Below are 16,107 nucleotides of genomic sequence, written 5' to 3'. Positions count from 1 at the left end.
ATCCTCTGGCAACAAACACCGAGGTGCAAATAACCAGTCCATCCACCCCTCCCTCCCGCTCTCCATCTCACAGACACTCCCTCACTCCACTTACCAGAGCAGCAAGACACCCAAACATCTCCCTAGAATTCTCATTAAATTTTCACCAAAAAAACGCCACCCAGCCAGGTGTGGTGGCTCACACCTGTAATCCTATCCCTTTGGGAGGCTGAGGCGGGAGGATCACTTGAGGCCAGGAGTTTGAGACCAGCCTGGCCAACATGGAGAAACCCTGTCTCTACTAAAAATAAAAGAATTAGCTGGGCATGGTGGTATGCACCTGAAATTCCAGCTACTCCGGAAGCTGAGGCATAAGAATCACTTGAACCCAGGAGGTGGAGGTTGCAGTGAGCTGGGATTGTGCCACTGCACTCCAGCCTGGGCGACACAGCAAGACTCTGTCTCAAAAACAAAACAAAACAAAAGGCCGCCAATGCCAAAACCTAATGGACTAAAAAAATGCCACCTTGTACAGTGCTCTAAAGGCAAGTTCTACAAGCAGATAATGGTAAAAACAAAACAAAACAAAACCAACGTGTCACCTAAACTTGCCCCCAGAAGGGTAACTTGCAAATCAAACTGTACTTGTTTTTGTCCTAATTAAAACCATGCCAGAGGCCGGGCGTGGTAGCTCATGCCTGTAATCCCAGCACTTTGGGAGGCCGAAGCGGGCAGATCACGAGGTCAGGAGATCGAGACCATCCTGGCTAACACGGTGAAACCCCGTCTCTACTAAAAATACAAAAAATTAGCCGGGCGTGGTGGCGGGTGCCTGTGGTCCCAGCTACTCGGGAGGCTGAGGCGGGAGAATGGTGTGAACCCAGGAGGCGGAGCTTGCAGTGAGCCGGGATCGCGCCACTGCACTCCAGCCTGGGCGACAGAGCGAGACTCCGTCTCAAAAAATAAATAAATAAATAGATAGATAGATAAATGAAACCAGGCCAGAAAATCACCTGAAACTTGAGCAAGAGAGAGAGAAGGAGAGGTAACTACCACCCAAAGAAGTTCCTCTGGATCTAAAGAAGATTCCAACTCACCACATCATCTCATCCCCATACGCCTTTGGGGGCTTCATAGCATTTTCTCCTTGGGGGAACCTAACCTCCTAAACATCCAACTTAAACAAACCCTCTTTAAAACAGCCTTGCTTAGCAGTATGCCTCCTGCCAGGAGGGACACAGGGCACTGAGCAGGAGCTGGTCTGTGTGCCACCTCCAGGGCCTACACCTGGCACCTGCAAGTCTCCAGCAGCCAAGGAAACCTCTCGCTCCTGCTGAGCCACTTTGCAGCTCTCCAAAGGACCCAAAGGTCTGGCCGCCGATTCCCAGGGGAGGGCAGGACTTATCGAAAGCAGGCGTGGAGACCTGGTTTAACCAGTCCAGCAGGTTGACAGATGGATGGACGCTGAGAAGGGTGGCTCCCGATCCCACCTGGAGGCAGCAGCTAAGCCAGCCCTGCAGCCATCCAAGCTCTGCAAAGGAGTGGAGGTCTCAGTGACAGGTGGAAAAAAGGCCCCAAGAGGACAAAAGAATGCTATTTTTAAAGCCTAATCTGGGCCAGGCATGGTGGCTCACACCTGTAATTGCAGCACTTTGGGAAACTGAGGCCAATGGATTACCTGAGGTCAGGAGTTCAAGACCAGCCTGGCTAACATGGTGAAATCCTGTCTCTACTAAAAATACAAAAATTAACTGGGTGTGGTGGCATGTGCCTGTAGTCCCAGCTACTCAGAAGGCTGAGGCAGGAGAATCACTTGAACTATGGGGATGGAGGTTGCAGTGAACTGAGATTGTGAGATCGTGCCACTGCACTCCAGCCTGGGCAACAGAGCACATGAGACTCCGTCTCAGAAAAAAATAAAAAAGGCTAATCTCTAAATTCCAAAAGGAAACAGGATTCTATCAACTGGTTCAACTGAGAAGAGAAAGGCCATTCGAGCCCCTTGCCAAGCACTCAACAGCCCAGGAGGCACCAGCACCCACCCACAGAGGGATGGTGACAAAGACTTCGGGACTGTGGCCAGATGGCCCTGGAGTCCCTGCAGGACCCTGCAGAAAGGGCCGCCAGGGACATCTGTCATCCTGGCCACACTTACGTCTGTGGAAACTGATGGCTATCAGCCTCATAAATGTGATTTCACCAGTTAAGACTCCAGCCCCGATGGCACGAGCCAGCAGCCAGAGTCCCTATCCACGGGAAGCAGGGGGCTGGGCACAGCTAGTCCTTGTCCTCATGGTCAATCCAGGCAGCAGAGAAACTGCGCCAGGCAGCCCTCTGACCTCCCGTCATGGTGCTGATCCAGAACTATGCACAATGATTCCAACAACGTGTCCTCAGAGTGAATTACGAGAAAGTGAACCCATCCTAATGCACTGAAGCAACGCTTCCAGCACGGAGAGCATCCAGGGTCTGGGTGCTTGTCCCACCAGGATAGCAGATTCTTTCTGACCCTCTGCAAGCCCCTCGGCCAGCTCCCACTCCTCCTGTGCACCCACTCCTCAGCCTCCCTGGGTAAGCTGGGAAGGTGGCCAGGGTACAGAAACAGCACTGGGTGTTAAGGCCGGGGATCTGGACAAGTCGTGTTTCACCCTGGCACCTGTCAGATGGGGTGCTCACCTGCCCATGCAGTCACCTGCCTGTGTGGCCTGGGCTTGTGGTTCTCTGGGTGTCCCCATCTTGGCCCCCTGACCGGCCGCAGGGGTCCCTGCGATGACTTGGAGGGGCAGCTGGAAAGGCTGTTCTGGTGGCTGGGTGGGAGGGGTGACGCTCAGAGGGTTCAGGGCAGGAAGAGGGGCCTCCCATGGGTGTGCCCAAAGCCAACCTCACCTAGGGCTGAGCTGCCTTGAGGGGCGCCTGTTTTTCTCTCAAAATGTGGAATCCTCTACCCCTGCACCTCTGTGCCCATACTGACCACCAGGCCCAGAACATCAGGGCGCCACCTCCCCTTTCCAGACACAGGGCCAGGCCCATGGGCTGCAGGATGAGAGTCCCTTGGGTGGGGGACCTTTGTGGCATAAAAGGGAGATTCACAACCCAGGAAAATAAAGTCGGAAGAGACACTATGTCCAGAGGCAGCCAAGTGAAACACCAGTCCCAGTGGCCAATCTCCCCCATGTCCCCGTCTGGATTGTTCCAGAACCCTGAGGCGTGCAGACCCGCTGCGTCGCATGGTCTCTACCTGTAGTTAGTACCCACGCCCACCCTGGGATTGAAAACGTGCCCCTCTTGGGTGCCTGCCACTGACTTCACTTCCCCCACCCTGTGTGTCTCCAGGGGAAAGGCACACTCTCCCCCCGGGCCGCATGTGGGGCTGGGATGCGGACCCAACTTTCCTGCTGCTTTGCCTCGACGCCAGGCCACGCAGTCCACAGGAGGCGGGAACGACAGGTACCTCGGTGACTGGGCACCGCACTCAGAGCAGCAGAAACAAACCTGGTGCAGTCAGAAAGCCCAAGTCCCGATGCACTGGTTACCAGCAGCGGACACAGGCACAGCAAACCACAGACAGCAAAACTTAGTGCTGGCCGGGCTGGAGCCACTCCAGAGCGCTTCAGAACATGTGGGGCGCCCCTCCTCACCCCCAACCCCAGCTCCCCGTGCTGCCCCTCCCCCAGGGTTTGCAGGGCACCAACCCTCTCCTCCCTCCTAGGAGATGCCACCTCACCTGGGACCAGGACAGCCCCAGCCTCCATCTCCAGTCCGGCCCTCCTAGCCCCCCAGGGCAGGACAGATGCCAGGGCCAACTGTCCTGAGACCAAGCTCCACTTTACCCCTGGACATCTCTGTACCCAAAGCCTCCTAAAACACCTAACCCCCCCCACCCAACCAGAGGTCCCTCACCACCCACACAAGCAATGCCCCTTCCTCTACCAAGGGCCCCCCAGAGGGCCAGGAGCCTCCCCCTACCCCAGCCCTCCTCTGGCCAGTGCTCCCGCCACCCCACAAGTGCCAAGGATCCCTGAACACACCTGGCCCCTCACACCCATGTGCTTGCATTCCTGCCCTGGCCTAGAATGCTCTTTATCATCACCCACCATACCCACCCCACCCGCCCACTTCCACCTGTCCTTCCACAAAAACAGGGGCAGGGAGGAGGGGCCCACCAGGCAGGTATGGCCTGTGGGTAGAGCTACAGCAGGTGACAGTGTGGACCCAGGCAGAGAAAGGTGTGCATAGGGTGGTGGGGAAGGGAGAGCACAGGACACACAGAGCTGGGGCAGGAGCCGGGCGTGGGGCAGCTGGGGAGGGGCTGGCGGGATGCTGGGGTGGGGCTGGCAGGATGCTGGGGAGGGGCTGGCAGGATGCTGGGTATCAAGGCTGGCTTCTGCTTGACGGTGAGCCCAGAGGTTCCCATTACATTATTAAAAATAACGAAAATATGGCTGGGTGAGGTGGCTCACGCCTATAATCCTAGCACTTTGGGAGGCCGAGGCGGGCAGATCACCTGAGGTCAGGAGTTCAAGACTATCCTGCCAACATGATGAAACCCCATCTCTACTAAAAAAATACAAAAATTAGCCCAGGGTGGTGGTGCACGCCTGTAATCCCAGCTACTTGGGAGGCTGAAGCAGGAGAATTACTTGAACCCAGGAGGCAGAGGTTGCAGTGAGCTGAGATCGCGCCACTGCACTCCAGCCTGGGTGACTGAGCAAGACTCCATCTCAAAAAAATAAATAAAAATAATGAAAATAGACAAAAGAGGACTATGCACAGACGCCCAACAGCAGCACAGACCCCAGGCCAATGACGCATCCCATTCTATGCCCCGGAAGCCCAAATGATGAAAAAGGGAAGAGGTCTCAGCCCACAAGCCTCCTCCCTTAGAAGGCTGCCCCAGCACTGAACAGCCTGCTACGGGAAGTCACTTAATGCAACACTAGCCCACCTCTGCCCGCCCGCCATGGGACTCTCGGTAGGCCCTGCGGCAGGGGTTGGGGGGCGGTCCCACCTGCCCTCCCTGTGCGGCAGGCCCAGCGGAGAAGAGGCAGTCAGAGAACACCTGCCAAATGGCCAAGAACAACAACGTCCCTTTCACCGTCCAGCTGCAGAAATGGGGATGTCTCTCGCCAAGACCGCCTGCAACAAGGGCCGCCCGCAAGGAAGCTTCTGCTTGATGTGAGGTTCCGGGGAAAAGGAACCAGGCAGGGGAGAATCCCGTGATGGTTCATCAGGCCTCAAAGTCAGAACTTACGACTTTTTAAACGTTTCAGTACAATTTACCTTTCTGCTACTGGTACTGGTAAAGAGGAAAGGTCTGCAAATCAAATAACAGTAAACAAGATATCGATGTTACTTAAGCAAACACGTTACTCTCAAGTATTTGAGAACGGTGTGGATAAAACCAATTCCTTTTATGTTTTTGTTCAAATGCTTTCTTTTCTGAAAGCCCGCATGGAGAGTTCTAATTTAGGTTATGTTGGTGAACAAAAATAATCACAATGTGGGGTTTATATCTTCTAATTATACAGAATTTAGGACAAAATATTCATGTAAGTGATTCTGGAATACTTCATAAATAGGTCATATAGGCTCTTTTTATTGCCAAAATTCTTGAAACTCAGTGCAGCAGAGTCATTGTCTCCATGTGGAACTGAAAGCAAGGCAGGCAGCCAGCAGCCCCTCCACGATGCCGGCCACATCCTGGAGGTGCCGGGCGCGGTGTCAGCCAACAAATCAGCCGACACTGGGGTTTTTAAAGCCCCTTGCAGAGCTGGTCACCATACATGTGGGCCGCAGAATTCCAAGACTCTCGGGAGAGAAATTTTGCTTCTGCAGGCGTAGAGGATGTGGTTCCTCCCTGGTGCAGTCGGAACAGTGAAAACATTCAGGAAAGTAACTGAATCGAGCCCCTCCCGGCTGTGAATGACTGAGTTCACCACACAGCCACAGTGGGGCTTCTTCACCTTGCTCGCCATGACTCAGTGCTAACAGCCCACTTCATCCTTTTTTTTTTTTTTGGAAACAGGGCCTCCTCCCTATGTTTCCCAGGCTGGCTTCAAACTCCTGGGCTCTATGGATCCTCCCGCCTTAGCCTCCCAAGGAGCTGGGACCACAGACACGCACCCCTGCACCCAGCTCTGCTGTTTTTAATCGTACAATTAAGCAGTCAGTTATTTAAAAATACACACTTGCCCAACTTAAAAGAACCACACTTATTTATCAATTATGCCAGCTGGGCTGGTGGCAGTAGCAGTGGGCCTCATTCCCTAGGGCACTCTGGGGGCGCAACCCTATGGGGACTGTCCCCCAACTATGGCACCACCTAACCTGAGCCCCGGTGGCCCTGCTGAGCTGGGCGTCAGGATGAGGTCTCGACTCCCGTGACATCAACCAACTTTCCTGGAATGTGCCGTGATGCCCTTGACAAGTGTGGGGACTTGGGGGCGAGAGGGAGGGCCTTGCTGTGTCAAGCCTGCAGGCACAGGAGGGGACACACCAGTCCTGGGCTGGGCCCCAATGTCCACTGATATCACAGATGCTTTCTGACTGTCCCTGGGCATGGCTAACTGAGGGGTGCGGGGGCTGAGGGGTGCGGGGGTTGGCCTTTCTGGGTTTTTTTTTTTTTTTTTTTTGAGACAGAGTCTCGCTCTGTCACCCAGGCTGGAGTGCAGTGGCTTGATCTTGGCTCACTGCAACCTCCGTCTCCCGAGTTCAAACGATTCTCGTGCCTCAACCTCCAGAGTAGCTGGGATTACAGGCACCCACCACCACACCCGGCTAATTTTTATTTTTAGTAGAGACAGGGTTTTGCCATGTTGGCCAGACTGGTCTCCAACTACTGACCTCTGGTATTCCACCTGCCTCAGCCTCCCAAAGTGCTGGGATTACAGGCGTGAGGCACCGTGCACGGCCCGGGGGTGGCCTTTATGAGGGATGCAACCTAGGACTTCAGCAATGTCCGTTAGCCTCTGCCTCATGGAGCTTCAGTAACGTCGTCCAAATGAATTTGGTAAATCTGTCCAAAACAACAAACCCCAACTCCCACCTCAGCCTCCCAAGGAGCTGGGACTACGACATGCACCACCACACCCAGCTAATTTTTTATTTTTAGTAGAGATGGAGTCTCACTATGTTGCCCAGGCCGTTCTCAAACTCCTGAGCTCACGCAATCCTCCCCCTCTCAGCCTCTCAAAGTGCTGGGACTACAGGCATGAGCCACTGCACCCAGCCCTGTTAATTTCTGTTTAAGTCCCTGAAGAGAGAATTTAAGATAACGAGAGATTTCACTATCACACACTGGACCCCGCGGCTGAGAGGGCAGCAGTTTCCCACCTTAGGCCATTCCAGGGCTCTTGCCTTCTCTGGCTGTTTTTTGGGTTTGTTTGTTTTTTTTTCTTTTTCTTTTTAGACAGAGTCTTGCTCTATCACCCAGGCTGGAGTCCGGTGGCACGATCTTGGCTTACTGCAATCTCCGCCTCCCAGGTTCGTGCAATTTTCATCCCACAGCCTCCTGAGTAGCTGGGATTACAGGCACCCACCACCATGCTGGCTAATTTTTGTATTTTTAGTAGAGACAGAGTTTCACCATCTTGGCCAGGCTGGTCTCAGACTCCCGACCACAGACAATCCACCTGCCTCGGCCTCCCAAAGTGTTGGGATTACAGGCATGAGCCAGTGTGCCCGGCCTCTGGCTGTTTTTATAAACTAGTAGTGTCCATCGTCCTTAGCTGTCCTCAGACAACACTGTGGACTCTCCCCCAATCTCTCTGAGCTCCTCCTCCCCTCACCCAAGCACGCCCTGGCGGGACCTCTGCTGCTCTCTCCCTCCCCTGTTGACACTCACCTGGGCCCAGCCCGGGTTTCTCCCCTCCCATTCCCCTCTACCAGGCCACCAAACCAGGCCAGTCACGAGCAACAGGCAGACACCAGCTGACTGGGTGTTAACGGCAGCAGCCCAGGCCTGGTCACACACACAGTGGCCCAGGTCACCTCCTCCTTGGGACGCGCTCCTGGCCAATCCCAGCCCTCGGGGTTAGTGGAGCGCTCACCCATCCCCGGCACCTTCTCAGCTCTCTGCCAAGGACTGGCTGGAGGAAGGACACTGGGAGAGGTCCCCAGTACTCCCGAACCCCACCCACTAGCCACCTTCCCCCAGCTTCCCAATCAAAGCCTCCCACCAAGAGGAATCAGGCCGAGGGCCATCCATGTGGCCCCAGAGCTGTCACAGTCAGACTCCCAGCTCCGCCCCTCTGGACGCAGGAGGCACGCAGGGCACAGGGCTGTCCAGGCGGCCCAGTAGCTGGTGTAGATGTGGGGGCAGGGCTCTGGCCCCCCAGGCCAAGGCTCTCCTGACTGCCACGGCTCTGCCCACCCGGGCCAACAGTAGGCAGGAATCAACCAGACTCAGGGCTCCCAACCAGGCCAGGACCCATCCTGCAAGACTGCCGTGGGAGTTACAGGAGGCGACACGGCCTCCCCACCAATACATGCCGCAGGAACCAGGCAGCAGGGAGGGCCACGAGGGGAGCTGGCTGAAGGGGTAGGGAGAAAGCTGCAGAAAGGGTGTTGACAGGAGGCCTCTCTGAGGGGCTGAGGGAGGGGAGGCAGTCAGGCTGCTGGGGAGCAGGGCAGGGGCTGAGGTCCTGGCAGTGCAGCAGGCCTCAGGGTGCACACAAAGCAGGTGGGTCACCTAGAAACCTGAGGAGTGGGCTGGGCCAGAAGAGTTAAGGATCCACCCCATGAGGCTGAGGAGTGATCTTCCAAAATACTTAAATAAAGCAAACAGAGCGGGACTGGGGGGTAGCCACAGGGCATGGGCCCTGCAGGCAGAGCTGGGAACTCTCAGACACCCGCTTACTCACCTGCAAAGCAGGGGCAGCATGGGCCCTTCCAGGGTCACTGCAGAGGTGGCAGCCACCCCCCACATCCCCTGGCCCCAGCAGGTCTTCAGATAATAGGGCCACCCACTCACCTTCTCCCTGGGCAGCCCTCCCCATCCCCCCAAACAGCCCAGCCCCACACTGGGCCATCTGCCCTCGGGCCACGTGAGGCACAGCCCTCACACCCACGGCTCCCCCATATCAGAGCTGCCCCCACACCCAGGACTCCCCCACATATCAGAGCTGCCCCCACACCCAGGGCTCCCCCACATATCAGAGCTGCCCCCACACCCACGGCTCCCCCATATCAGAGCCGCCCCCAAACCCAGGACTCCCCCCAAGAGCCAGGGCTGCCCTCTTTAACAAGGCTCCAGGGCTTTCGGGAAGGCAGCAGCGACTGGAGGGACAAGGACACTGAGCCAGGGTCTCCCAGCTCTGAAAAGGTCCTCCCTGGAGCACCAGCAGGCTGGGGAGTGTCGCCCATCCAGGTCCCCCCGCCCCCTGCCGTCCCTGCTTCTCCCATCAGTACTGACGAAGCACCTGCTGCGTACCCAGCCCTCTGCCCAGCGCCACAGTTACGAGCTGTGGTTGCACTGCCACGGGCCAGCACAGGACATCTCAAATGTTTAAGAGAACTCTGCTGTCACCAACCTTACTGTGGGAGGGGGTGGGGAGACGCTGGCAGAGGCTGGGTCACCAGCCCCAGGCCCCACAGCTATGACAGGACCTGAGAAGAAAGGCTTCGGCTCCAGCCCAGCCCAGCCTGGGCCACATCCAGGCTCTGCCCAGCCCGGACCGACGCCAGTGTCACATGCCCTCCTGAGACCTGTGTCAGGGAAGCCTAAGGACCCCGGGGATGGAGAGGGCGGTGCTGGGGCTCCTGGATCAGGCCGGGGAAGGAGGACGGACGAAAGGGTGGGCACCCCGCAGCTCCAGGAGCACTGGCCACCCCTGCCCCCCAGCCAGGAACATCTTCAGATCGCTCATTCTCCAAAGGCAGCTGATGGCTAAGACTGCGAGGGACAGGGTGGGGCCTTGTAAAAGCTTAGAACGTGGCTGGCCAGAGGCCACAGCTCCCCTCTTGCCCTCTGTAGTGGTTTGACCCACTCCGCAGATACCAATATGAACAGCACTCGCCCGGGGAGGGTGCTCCAACAAGCCAGCCGGGTCTGCCCCACATCCACAGAGCTCAGCAGGCCTGCCACCTCCCTGCCCTTGCGTGGTGCTGCCTGGAGGGATGGAAGACGGACAGCCAGACAGGGACGGAGGTGTGCTGACCTCAGCTCTGCCCCTCCTGACCTACTGGCTCCTCATCCATCGGGTTGTGGGGGACGCTGGGCAGTCACTGGGGTTACCTGGCTTCTCCCATGCTCCTAGGTTCTCAAAGCAGATGGGGTGGCTGGGGGTGACCCCCCAGGGCCTGCCTATCCTGAGTCACAGCTCTAGATGTCCGGTTTAGAGAGAGACTCTGGGACAGAGCCCCCGAAGGCGGCTCCATGGGGCTCCACCAGGGCTGGGGCTGTCCCAGAGTCTCTCTCTAAACCCGACATCTAGAGCCAAGTAGACACCACCCACTCCCTCCCCGCCTGTGCCCCTCCTGACCAGGCCCTGGCCCCCTGGACCCTCAGGCCTTTTGCCAACCTGTGATGTGAGTGCGTCTGCCCAGACGGGGAGGATCAGGAGCCCTGTACCATCCTCCCGCGGCCCCACCCCGACGCCCGGGCTTCTGGCGCACACGCCTGTTTCACTTCCTCTCCACCAAACATCTGCCACCTCCACTGTTAGGCAGGTCAGGCTCCAGGGGCCAGCAACGACCACCAGTCAGTTCCACCTGTTTCAACCCTACCTCGGGCCAGTGCCTCTGGGTCCCTCCCTCCTGAGCTGGGGTTGGCTGAGTGTGCCTGCCTAGGCTTCTCCCACAGGACAGGACAGGACAGGACAGGACGGAGCCTTGCCCACTGACCCCCATCCAGCCCACTGGCCCCCCGCCCCGGCCTGGGCTGCCTGCCAGGTATGCTGCTGGTGGAGGCCCTCCCCCTCAAGCCTTTGTCAGACCCTGACTATCCCCCTAGTTGGAAGAGAAGGGCTACAGAAAGCAAGCAGAAGACACAAACCTGGGCACTGAAGCCGGAACAGGACCCCAAACGGCCTCCGCCTCCCAGAGCTGATGGCCCAGTGTCACTCCGGACGGCTGGGCTTTTGGAACAGACTTCCCCTTCCCACCCCCACACACTTAAACCTGACAGTTTCACTTCTTGGGTGGAGAATGTGTGAAATGATTCACACACCTTGCTGGGGTCCAGCAGTGGCTGGGGACACAATGTCACCTTCTACTCCGGAGCCCCAGATCACTGGCTCATCACAGCCCAGCGGGCACACACGCTCCACAGATCACAGGGGCCTCCACTCTCACAGGGTCCACTCCTGTTGTCAGCTGAGCATTCCCCCAGGGCAGGGGATAATCTACTTCATCAGGGTTCTGTGGCAAACAAGAGCCACTGGGCGCAGAGTGGGCTGAGAAAGCATGCGAGGAAGTAGGCGACCATCAGCACGGGCTTTGTCCAGCATCACAGGGTAGTTACGGTCCGGTTCTTCCCGGGTAAGAGGGTGGGTTCTGGGACACAGACGGGGTGTGGGTGTTGCTTCAGACTTTTAAACGCCAAACTCCCCACCCAGGGGCCAAGGTCTACACACACCTTTCTACCTCTGCCCATCCAGGTCCCAAGTGCCCTCAGAGCTGCAGGGCCTCAGCTCCCTCCTCATCAGCTGCAGGGCAGGAAGACAGAGGACCCTGCAGGCTGTCACTGCTCAGGCCAGGCTCACCCCAGGGCCGCTTTCCCCAGCAGACAGGTAGGGGTTCCCCCCAACTCATGTCCCAGCAGGGACAGCAGCCAGTCGCCCTGAGAAGCTGAGACCCCACCAGCGATTCCGCCACACCAGAGCTCTGGGTGCAGTAGGATACCTGGCTCCTTCGTCTGCCCCCTGAAGGCCCTCGTCTCTGTGTCATGGGGCTAGGCCCTCCCATGACCCCCACGTTTCCCCAACCCTATGGAGTGTGTCTAAGGAAGCAGGTGGAATTGGCCTGGCTCCCCCAGTCTGGGGCCTAGAGCAGAGCCCGGGGAGCCAGGGAGCCCTGGGCTGGGGAGGGGAGGGCAGACAGAGGAGGGGACAGAGCCCCTCCGAGCCAGCATCACCCGGCAAATGCCTCCGACCATCGCACCGGACTGAGCCAGCCCACCAATCTCAACCTGGAAAGCAGGGAGGCGCCAGTGGGGCCCAGTGAGGATGGGGGTGGGGCACGTGGGGCGGTGGGGAGGAGCCAGGGCAAGGAAGGAGACACGGTCAGCAGGAAGGCAGGAGGCTGGCCCCAGGTAAGGGCATAGGCAGGTGAGTGGGCCACCCCCTAAGCTGCATTCCCAAGAATGCTGGCATCCCCAGCGAGGGCAGCCCTGGCTCCCCGGGCTGTGCTCTAGGTCCCAGACTGGGGGAGCCAGGCCAATTCCACCTGCTTCCTTAGACACACTCCATAGGGTTGGGGAAACGTGGGGGTCATGGGAGGGCCTAGCCCCATAGCACAGAGACAAGGGCCTTCGGGGGCAGACAAAGGAGCCAGGTATCCCACTGCACCCAAGACGTGGCTGAACCTCAGTCCTAGCCCCAGAGGAGCCGCAGGCACATGCTGGTTGGGTCTCCAGGAGCCTTGCACAGAGGCTGACCTTTAACAAGCTGACCTGAGAGGCCGGTCTCAAGCCATCCCCACTCCTGTGTCCTATAAACTCCTGTGCCCCTCCCTCATCGCTCCAGGGAGCCCTCCTTGTCGCTCCCTCCCTGGCAGGGTCAGGCCCTTCCCCATCCCATAGACCAGGCTCTCTTTACCTTTCCACCTCCCACAAGCTCCCTTCCACCATGTGTGCCCTGAAGGCAGAAGCATCATTCAGGTGCCCCGGACAGGTGATAAGAGGCCAGCACCCCTCATGGGACCGCGAACACAAGGGTGAAAGTCTTGTATTCCAGGCAAGGGCCTTGGGGTGCTGTGACCGGAGGCTTCCTGGGTCTAGGGCCGAAGTTAACCCAACATCAAGAAAACAAGACAGGCAGCCGGGCGCGGTGGCTCACGCCTATAATCCCAGCACTTTGGGAGGTGGAGGCAGGCGGATCACCTGAGGTCAGGAGTTTGAGACCAGCCTGACCAACATGGAGAAACTCCGACTCTACTAAAAATACAAAATTAGCTGGGCGTTGTGGTGCGTGCCTGTAGTTCCAGCTACTCGGGAGGCTGAGGCAGGAGAATCACTTGAACCTGGGAGGTGGAGGTTGCAATGAGCCACGATCACGCCATTGCACTCCAGCCTGGGCAACAAGAGCAAAACTCCATCTAAAAAAAAAAAAAAAGAAAGAAAGAAAAAAGACAGGCTCCACTCAGATCCCCAAAATGCTGCCTGGAAAACACCGCCGACAAACCAGCAGACGAGGAGTGACCACCTGGTTCTCTCTCTTCCCAAAACTTCTGCAAGGGCCTGACGCATTCCTGAATGAAAGATGCTTAACAGAAAGCCCAGCAGATGCGGCTCTGTAGATCTTTTCAAAGGCCGTCCCCTGCCAGGGTGGCAAGTTCAGAGGCAGAGAGGGGACAGACCTGGCCAGGATGGAGTCGGAGATTTGTCTGAGCTCTAAAGCGTCCCGCCGGCAGCCTTTCTCCTCCTTCCCCGAGGAGGCCGGACTCTGGGATGCGTTCTAAGTCAGCCCCACTTTCACGTCTCAAAGCAACGCCAAGCCCGTGCCCGTCCCTGCGGGGCCGGGCTGACTAAGCACAGCAGGGAAGTCCCTGGTTCTCCTGCAGCCTCCCTCCCTTCTTCCCTCTAAGTCGTGGAATCATGTTGGGGAGGTGGCGGCCCCTCCCCAGCCCCAGCCAGCCATGCTGCGGCAGCATACCGGGAGCCCGGGCTCGAAGCCAAGGGATCGGGAACTGCTTCCCGGGGGGTCCCACTAACAACTCCAGTCCCACTACGCAGACACACCGGTACTAACAATTAAGTAGATGTGTGGCAAGCGGTGGGAGTCTGGCTTCCTGCTGCTTGAATAGACACGAATTGATCTGCAAGAAAGGAGACGAGAAAGATCCATGCAGGAAACGGATCAGAGTTCATCAGCGGCGCGAACTCACACTTTGCTCAATACAGGTACAGGAGGCTACACGCGGACACAGGCAGAGACACGTACATATGTGCGCGTCAGCTCACACGTGCATTTCCTTGCTGTCAGCTAAGAGGGCCCAGAAGCAATGACACCCCGGTAGTGATGAGCGTACCCGCCACCTGGATCTTGGTTTCCGATTCTGCCCTCCAACAAAAGGAACCCGGGCTCCCTGCAGAAGGGGCTGACTCTAGGCCTGGGCAGGGAATGGACAAGCTGAGCCTGGAGCATCTCACAGGGCCAGAAAGTGAGGAAGGACTCACACCACCCACCGTGAAGGGGTGCATCCAGGGAACCCGACGGCCAGCACTGGAACGAGTGAGCAAACAAAATAATGGCATTCCGCATTGACCTAGAGGATTAAATGAGTATCCACGAACCCACATGGATAAGTAAGCGGCTGCATAAACTGATAAATGGGGAGAAGAGACAGACCCCCCTGAAGAAGAAGGCCACATCAGTGACACAGCCACTCTGCCCTCAAGGAGGCAGGCGTGACTCCCCAGCCCTTAAGTGTGGCCGCGTGTAGTGACCTCCTCCCAAAGGCAACAGTACTGGAAGGAGGAAACACAAGAACTGCTGTGAAGACCCCTGACAAACACATCTCAGGTGGGTGGCCAAGTCAGCACCAGTAGCCGCGGGCCACATCGAAGGTATGCGCCTGGCGTGACGTGGTTAGAGGGCACCATGCCCCTGTGGTCTTCCTCCCGCTAAGCCAGGGCCCCAGTCGCACCATGAGAAATACATCCAAATTCCAACAGAGGAATTCCAATTGTTCAAACAGACAAATTCCAATGGATGGAGATCCCACAATACACCTACTATTTCTTAAGACTGTCAGAGTTATCAAAACTAAGAAAAGTCTGAGAAGCTGTCATAGCAAAGAGGAGCTTAGAGAGACATGACAGCTAGATGTCATCTGGGACCCTAGATGCAGTCTTGGAACAGAAAAAGGACATTAGGTAAAACCTAATGAATCTGAACAAACTATGTACTTTGGCTAATGATAATGTATCAATATTAGTCCATGGATTGTAACAAACCTATCATACTAATGTAAGATGTTAATCACCAGACAAACTGCAACTGTTGGTAGGGATAATTGGGAAACTCTGTATTATCTCTGCAATTTCTCTATAAATCTAAAACAGTTTTTTAAAAATAGAGTTGGCTGGGTGTGGTGGCTCACACCTGTAATCCCAGCACTTTGAGAGACCGAAGCGAATGGATCACCTAAGGTCAGGAATTCGAGACCAGCCTGACCAACATGGTGAAACTCCATCTCTACTAAAAATACAAAATTAGCCAGGCATGGTGGTGCATGTCTGTCACCCCAGCTACTTGGGAGGCTGAGGTAGGAGAATCGCTTGAACCCGGGAGGCGGAGGTTGTGGTGAGCTGAGATCGCACCATTGCACTCCAGCCTGGGCAACAAGAGCGAAACTCCATCTCAAAAGACAAAAGAGAGAGAAAGGTGGTCACCACAGGCAGGGAGGAAGGGTCCAGGGAGTGCCTAAAGTGTCTAGAAGGCCCAGGTTCCTGTTTGGGTTTCGATTGTGGTGATGGCTGCACAACTTGGTGAATGTACTAGAAGTCCGTGAACTGTGCACTTTCAATGAGTGTGTTGTATGATGTGTGAATTACACCTCAATAAAGACGCTGACAAACACACCTCAGCCAGGTGGCCAAGGTCAACACCAAGAGTGAGGAACAAACAAATTCACTCCCAGCCTGGCTCCTGGCCCTACCCAACTCCACAGCCCAGCTCAGACCCGAGCCAGGGTCCCAGGATACCAGGCATAATGAGGTGCCGCTCCAGGTCGCTGGACATGAGCAGAGACCCCTAACTTCAGGAGCCCACCTTCTAGAAGGGAAGCGTGGTAAACAGTAGACAAACAAGAACCTCAGGAAGAGGAGAGCAGTGACAGCAGAGGCACAGCTGGGGCACTCATGGGAGGCCTCCCTGGAGGGGGGACGTGGAGCAGAGAGGTCCCAGGAACGGCCGGCAGGGGAACCCACCAAGAGAGGCTGAGCCGTTTCCTGGAGCCTCCTAACCG

General features: G+C 56.8%; 1 protein-coding gene across 12 annotated transcripts in view, besides 7 other annotated features; it reads right to left on the bottom strand.

Moving 5' to 3' along the window:
- GRAMD4 (GRAM domain containing 4) overlaps nucleotides 1-16,107 on the bottom strand; it is a 107,013-nt gene that overhangs the window by 84,313 nt on the left and 6,593 nt on the right. The window contains exon 1 of one of the 12 annotated variants that reach the window (XM_047441211.1): nucleotides 10,500-11,064. The exons of 8 other annotated variants lie outside the window; for them this stretch is intronic. Coding sequence is in view for 1 of the 4 variants with exons in the window: in XM_047441205.1 (XP_047297161.1) it covers nucleotides 1,077-1,114 (38 nt within the window). In the remaining 3 variants the exon portion in view is untranslated. Of the gene's footprint in view, nucleotides 1-1,076; nucleotides 1,357-9,509; nucleotides 9,675-10,499; nucleotides 11,065-16,107 lie in introns of those variants that run through there. 3 more of the 12 variants (XM_047441209.1, XM_047441207.1, XM_047441205.1) reach the window with 3 other exon arrangements.
- Nucleotides 4,882-4,941: a silencer, noted in NCBI's record as "silent region_13915". NCBI's record gives its function as "represses an Ori minimal core promoter by ATAC-STARR-seq in GM12878 lymphoblastoid cells {active_cell/tissue: GM12878}" and the evidence as "EXISTENCE:reporter gene assay evidence [ECO:0000049][PMID:35858748]".
- Nucleotides 10,269-10,318: a silencer, noted in NCBI's record as "silent region_13914". NCBI's record gives its function as "represses an Ori minimal core promoter by ATAC-STARR-seq in GM12878 lymphoblastoid cells {active_cell/tissue: GM12878}" and the evidence as "EXISTENCE:reporter gene assay evidence [ECO:0000049][PMID:35858748]".
- Nucleotides 10,669-10,718: a silencer, noted in NCBI's record as "silent region_13913". NCBI's record gives its function as "represses an Ori minimal core promoter by ATAC-STARR-seq in GM12878 lymphoblastoid cells {active_cell/tissue: GM12878}" and the evidence as "EXISTENCE:reporter gene assay evidence [ECO:0000049][PMID:35858748]".
- Nucleotides 11,209-12,196: an enhancer, noted in NCBI's record as "H3K27ac-H3K4me1 hESC enhancer chr22:46982145-46983132 (GRCh37/hg19 assembly coordinates)". NCBI's record gives its function as "activates a minimal SCP1, AML or CMV promoter by ChIP-STARR-seq in primed H9 embryonic stem cells {active_cell/tissue: H9 hESC(primed)}" and the evidence as "EXISTENCE:reporter gene assay evidence [ECO:0000049][PMID:30033119]".
- Nucleotides 13,185-14,172: an enhancer, noted in NCBI's record as "NANOG-H3K4me1 hESC enhancer chr22:46980169-46981156 (GRCh37/hg19 assembly coordinates)". NCBI's record gives its function as "activates a minimal SCP1, AML or CMV promoter by ChIP-STARR-seq in primed H9 embryonic stem cells {active_cell/tissue: H9 hESC(primed)}" and the evidence as "EXISTENCE:reporter gene assay evidence [ECO:0000049][PMID:30033119]".
- Nucleotides 14,173-15,162: an enhancer, noted in NCBI's record as "NANOG-H3K4me1 hESC enhancer chr22:46979179-46980168 (GRCh37/hg19 assembly coordinates)". NCBI's record gives its function as "activates a minimal SCP1, AML or CMV promoter by ChIP-STARR-seq in naive H9 embryonic stem cells {active_cell/tissue: H9 hESC(naive)}" and the evidence as "EXISTENCE:reporter gene assay evidence [ECO:0000049][PMID:30033119]".
- Nucleotides 15,699-15,798: an enhancer, noted in NCBI's record as "active region_19242". NCBI's record gives its function as "activates an Ori minimal core promoter by ATAC-STARR-seq in GM12878 lymphoblastoid cells {active_cell/tissue: GM12878}" and the evidence as "EXISTENCE:reporter gene assay evidence [ECO:0000049][PMID:35858748]".

Source organism: Homo sapiens, chromosome 22, assembly GCF_000001405.40.
Source record: "Homo sapiens chromosome 22, GRCh38.p14 Primary Assembly".
NCBI classification, from domain to species: Eukaryota; Metazoa; Chordata; class Mammalia; order Primates; family Hominidae; genus Homo; species Homo sapiens.
Note: the sequence above shows the minus strand (reverse complement) of the source record. Positions and strands in the feature narration are given on the sequence as shown.